At 49.1% G+C, this 5,856-nt stretch overlaps 2 annotated features.

The window, feature by feature from the left end:
• Positions 3,064-3,564: an enhancer, noted in NCBI's record as "H3K4me1 hESC enhancer chr6:3810501-3811001 (GRCh37/hg19 assembly coordinates)". NCBI's record gives its function as "activates a minimal SCP1, AML or CMV promoter by ChIP-STARR-seq in naive H9 embryonic stem cells {active_cell/tissue: H9 hESC(naive)}" and the evidence as "EXISTENCE:reporter gene assay evidence [ECO:0000049][PMID:30033119]".
• Positions 3,565-4,065: an enhancer, noted in NCBI's record as "H3K4me1 hESC enhancer chr6:3810000-3810500 (GRCh37/hg19 assembly coordinates)". NCBI's record gives its function as "activates a minimal SCP1, AML or CMV promoter by ChIP-STARR-seq in naive and primed H9 embryonic stem cells {active_cell/tissue: H9 hESC(naive and primed)}" and the evidence as "EXISTENCE:reporter gene assay evidence [ECO:0000049][PMID:30033119]".

Below are 5,856 nucleotides of genomic sequence, written 5' to 3'. Positions count from 1 at the left end.
TTAAGAAGGGTCCAAGTTCGAGGCATGGTGACTTAGCAGGAAAAGTGTCCCTCCACAGAGAGGTAGGAGATAGGACATGAAGCCGTTGGTGGAGCCTCTGTATCTCTTGGGACTTCCTTTCCTTCTTCCACAAATTGTAAAAGACCAGCAGGAGGGCCTCACCTAGCAGTGGGTTAGAAATGCAGGATCTCAGGCCACACTCTGGACCTACTGACTCAGTCTGCATTGTAACAAGACCCCACGCCATTCTGTGCACTTTGGGTTTGAGGAGCGAGCACTGGTCTAGAGATTTCTCAGGCACTTTCCAGTGCAAATTTCCTGTCGTTCTAAAACCCCATGGGTTGGCGTGCCCCACTGGCCAGAAGGTGAAAACACATTTTGGGAGCGCTATCTCTGGGACAGTGACAAGGGTGCTTCCCCCAGACGACCAGGGCTTCCCCGAGCTCCTCCACCCCAGGGCTGCTATTTCAGGAGCTCTCCTGCTGAGTCACCAGAGGAAAGCAGCCAGGGGAGGAAGCAGCCGTATCCTGTGCACTCGGCTGGACCAGCGAGGGCAGGTGACTCTGGGGGGCCTCTCCCTTGGCGGTGACTCCATGCAAAGGTGGAGAGCCGTTCATGAAACCCTGTGATTGTATCTGTTAGGCAGGAAGGAACTTATATTTTTCCTATTCCTGTATCCCTGGTTTCTGGAAATTTCCCCATAGTGAGAAATTAGAGGGGATTAATTTATCTTTTCTCCACTCCATCTGAGTAAGCCCTGGAGTGAATACAGAGCCTTAACCATGGAAAGGAGAGATGGGGAGAGGCCCCTGCAGCAGGAGTCAGTAGATGTGGATTCTCATCCTGCCACCCACGGTGTGATTTCAGGTAAATCCTAGGACTCTCTGGGTTCAGATTCCACACTGGTAAAATGCTTCAACCATCTCTAGGCCCTGCCCCTACACACAGTGGATGTTGGAATGCAGCAAACCTTTTACTTATTCATCTGTTGTAATTTAATGTTTTATATAGAAATATATCACGTGATTAAAAACCCAGATGTTCTAAAAGCTGTAACTTGAGAATTGCTCTTACCCGTTTCTTCCTCACTGCTGTTCTCTTACAGGTAATGACTTCTATGAGTTTCTTACATTTCCCTTTATTGAAGCACAAGCAAATACAAACACATGTTCTTGTTTCCCACCCTTTTGTACACAAAAGTGGCTTACTATGTGCAGCATTCTGTATGTTTTCTTGCTAGCTTACAGATGTATATTGAAGATGGCTCCATATTGGACCATTGGAATTCTTTACTCCTTTTTCTGTCATATGATGTCCATTAAGCTTATTTAGCTAGTTTAACGTGCTTGTTTATCTAGTCCCCTATTGATGGCTACTTGAGTCCAATGGAGCTAAATTCTATGTGCTCTATTCACTTACTGATGGCTGGAGGAAGGCAATGCTCACTATAGGAGAGGCACTATCTCTCTCTTTTTTTTTTTTTTTGGAGACAGGGTCTCGCTCTATCACCAGGCTGGAGTGCAGTGGCACAATCTCAGCTCACTGCAACCTCCACCTCCCAGGTTCAAGTGATTCTCCTGCCTCAGCCTCCCGAGTAGTTTGGATTATAGGCGTGCACCACCACACTCGGCTAATTTTTTTATATTTTTGGTAGAGACAGGGTTTCACCATGTTGGCCAGGTTGTCTCAAACTCCTGACCTCAAGTGATCCGCCTGCAGCCTCCCGAAGTGCTGGGATTACAGGCGTGAGCCACTGCATCCGGCCAAGGCACTATCTCTTTAATCCTCACAACAGCCCTGCAAGGTAGACGTTCGTTATGAACTGCATGTATCCCCCTAAAATTCACACATTGAAGCCCTAACCCCCAGTGCGATGGTGTTTGGAGACGGGGCCTTTGAGAGACAGTCAGGTTTAGATGAGGCATGCAGGCAGGGTTCCCATGATGGGATTTAGTGCTCTTATAACAATGGATACTGGAGAGTTTGCTCGCTCTCTCCCTGCTTCCCAGTCCGCCAATATGTGGGGGCACAGCAAGGATATGGCCACTTACAAGCCACAGAGAGGGCCCTCGCCAGAACCCAATGCTGGCAGCCCTGATCTCAGATTTCCGACCACCAGAACCCTGAGAATCTGCTAGCACCTTGACCTTGGGCTTCCCAGCCTCCAGCACAGTGAGAAATCACTTTTTGTTGTTTATAAGCCACCCAGTCCATGGTAATTTGTTATAGCAGCCCAATGCGCTAAAACACTGGCTGACTGCCCACAGTTGCAGTAAGTAGGGTGAGGCAGCATGGTGGGGTAGAAGGGAGGGCCAGAGTGGAGCACCCCACCAAGCGTCCTGCAGCTCCTGCATCATATGCAGGATGTGCTGAAGTTCCTGCCTGACCCATGGAGGAACCCAGAAAGTAGCCAGCTGGAGGGCTGGCACACATAGTGATGGCAGGGTGACCCTGCATCCCAAGGCATCACAAGGCTGCATTGTGGACAGCCTTGGCTAGGAGCCACATGGAGGGCACGGTAGCATGAAGAATGCCAGTGTCTGTTTTGTGCTCTAAAACAGAATACCTGAGACTGGGTAATTTATGAAAAACAGAACATTACTTCTTCATTCTCCTGGAGGCTAGGAAGTCCCAAATCAAGGCGGTGACATCTGGTGAGAGCCTTCTTGTGTGTCCTCACATGGGAGAAGGTGAAAGGGGAAGAGAGAGTGAACCCACTCCCACAAGCCCTTTTTAGAGCTACATTAATCCATCCATGAGTGTGGAGCCCTTGTGACACAACCACCTCCCAAAAGGCTGTAGCTTCCCACATTGCTGCACTGGGGATTAAGTTTCCAACACGGGAATTTAAAGGGACACGTTCAGACCATAGCAACCGGTGACAAGTCTGGTGTTGCCCCAGAGCATGGCAAAAGAGGGCAGCGGAAAAGTTGAGCTGGAGCAGGACGCAGAACACCCAGGGACTGTGAGTGGGCAGTGTTCACACCATGGAGGGCAGGCCACAGAGAAAGCTATGACTTGGGATGGAGGCAGAGGCGCCAGGGGCAGCAAGTGACACAGGAAAGCCCAGCAGTGGCAAAGGAGACCCCACGCAGATCCCGGGAAGGCTGAGGGAGAATGGGTCAAGCCATTGGGGAACAAGGTGTCCATCCTGGGAACCGTGATGGGAGCAAACTTCCTGGGAGCTCAGTTAATAGGGCTGAGAACTTAGGTGTAAGAAATACGGCAAGATTCAGCTACTAAACTCAGGGCCTGTTTTTGTTGTTGTTGTTGTTTGTTTGTTTGAGACGGAGTCTCACTCTGTCTCCCAGGCTGTAGTGCAGTAGCGCAATCTCAGCCCGTTGCTGCCTCTGCCTCCCAGGTTCAAGCAATTCTCCTGCCTCAGCCTCCCGGGTAGCTGGGATTACAGGCATGTGCCACCACACCTGGCTATTTTTTGTATTTTAGTAGAGACGGGGTTTTGCCATGTTGGCCAGGCTCATCTTGAACTCCTGACCTCAGGTAATCTGCCTGCCTTGGCCTCCCAAAGTGCTGGGATTACAGACGTGAGCCACCGTGCCCAAGGGCCTGGGCTTTGAATGAAGTCCCCTAGGCTGAGATCAAGACTATAAACACAGAGCTTGCAAGGAGGGGTTAAGGATAGCTGCGGCTGCGGCGGGCCGAGGAACATGGTGGGTGGGCAGTGTCGCCGAGAAGGCCTGCTTTTCTCTCCCCTGCCCCATGGCTATGTGTAGTTGGGGACTCCTGGCCACAGGGAGTCAAGCTGTAACCTTGACTAGGTGGCCTGGTGGAGTGCTCCAGTATCAGTTTTGGGAATGGGCATGTAGCAATGCACTGAAGCAGGCTGGACAGTCCAGGTGATGACCACACAGGTCGAGTCCATCCTCTAAATCTGCAGGTTCCACATCCTCAGATTTAACTGACCACGCATAAAAAATATTTGGGAAAAAAATTAAAATAACAATACAATAAAATTAATACAAACAAAAAAACACAGTATAACAATTATTTACACAGCATTTGTGTTGTCTTAAGTATTAGAAGTACTGTAGAGATGATTTAAAGTATACAGGAGAGCACTGTGGGAGGCCAAGGCAGGAGGATCACTTGAGGCCAGGAGTTCGAGAACAGCCTGGGCAACATAGCAAGATCCCATCTCCACAAAAAGTACACAAATTAGGCAAGCATGTTGCTGTGGGCCTGTAGTCACAGCTACTCAGAAGGCAGAGGGGGAAGGATTGCCTGAGCTCAGGAGATTGGGGCTACTGTGAGCTATGATCACACCACTGTACTCCAGCCCAGGGGATAGAGTGAAATCCTTCTCTAAAAAATAAAAATAATACATAAATAAATTAATTAAATAAATAAAGTATATAGGAGGATGTGCATAGGATGTATGTAAAGACTCTGTGATTTCATAAGCATCTTGAACACCCATAGTTTTGTATCTGCACGGAGTCCTGGAACCAATCCCCCTGGGATGCTGAGGGATGTCTGTATGTTCCCTCCAGCCATGCTGTACAGCTTGGGTAGCCTGAATAATCTCCCCTGTGACGCTACAGAACATTCCCTTAGCTCCCCAGGGTTGGAGAGGTTCTTCTCTACACCTCAGGGTCTCCCTGTGGCTGGCTGAGGAACCAGCCACTTCTTTGCAGACTGACAAGGGGCTTGTCCTGCAGGCAAAGAAGCCTATTATTTCTCTCTGCAGCTGTCCAGAGAGGCACACCCAGCTGGACACATGCTTCTCTGCTTAGTCACCAGTGGCCATACCCTAGCTTGGCACAGCTGGAGCCTCCAGGAGCCCAAACAGAAAACTCATCTGCAGACCGCACCAGCTTCACAGGCACCAGCTCGGGAGCTGAGAACTTGGCAAAAACAAGCACTGTAGTGAGTAACTGCAGCAAGCACGTGTGCACGCACACTCACGTACTCACACACACATGTGCACACCCAGACACACTCATGAAGCCATTCTGGTCAGCCCCAGATAGCATCATGCTGAACAGACACTGCCCCCTGCCCTGTCTGCTGAGCTCTTCCTCCTGCCAGAGCCCACTAGGCTGGCCTCCTCAATGCATTGCCAATCCTACAGCAGGTTCACTTGCTTTTTCATGAATCTACTAAATTGTTTGTCCTCTGGAGTTGTATTTTGACTTTGAAGCCATAATATGCAAGCAATACATTCTCCAAACACTATGAAAACGTGTTTGTATGTGGCTTGGTTCTAGTGTCTCTGCTCATGGACAAACTCTTCCGACTCACAGACTCTAAGCTGAAAGGGCTCAAAGAGTGATGTCCAACCTTTCTTTACCATAAAGAAGACTGGGTCCCAGATGTGTGGAAGGATGGCCTCTTCTATCCATTCCTTTGAAAATAATGAATCACTCTTTCTAACACAGGAAGACATTACTATAATCTGACCCAGCGACTGGGTTCTGACCCTTCACCCATTTCTGTTCAACTCCCTCAACCTTTTGGGAATTCCTGGCTCAGGCTGCCCACTCCCACTTGCTACTGGACATGTTTGTAATCAGCTTTCATCCGCCTCCCCCTCCCCACCCACCTGGGATCCTGCCATTGGCTTCCCTCTTGAAGCTTTCATTTATTCTACTTATAACTCCTAAGGAGATGCTGCGGCTTCCAGACTTTCTTATTATTGTAAAAAAATTGAGTAATTCTTACTTCATCATTTTGGCAAACTTTAGGATAATTTTATGGTAATTTCTTCCATTAAGATCTGTTCTTGCAAAGATGTATCTGCATGAGTGATGGCTCACCCCTGTAATCCCAGCACTTTGGGAGGCCGAGGTGGGTGGATCACCTGAGGTCAGGAGTTTGAGGCCAGCCTGGCCAACA

This window comes from Homo sapiens, chromosome 6 (genome assembly GCF_000001405.40).
Source record: "Homo sapiens chromosome 6, GRCh38.p14 Primary Assembly".
NCBI classification, from domain to species: domain Eukaryota; kingdom Metazoa; phylum Chordata; class Mammalia; order Primates; family Hominidae; genus Homo; species Homo sapiens.
Note: the sequence above shows the minus strand (reverse complement) of the source record. Positions and strands in the feature narration are given on the sequence as shown.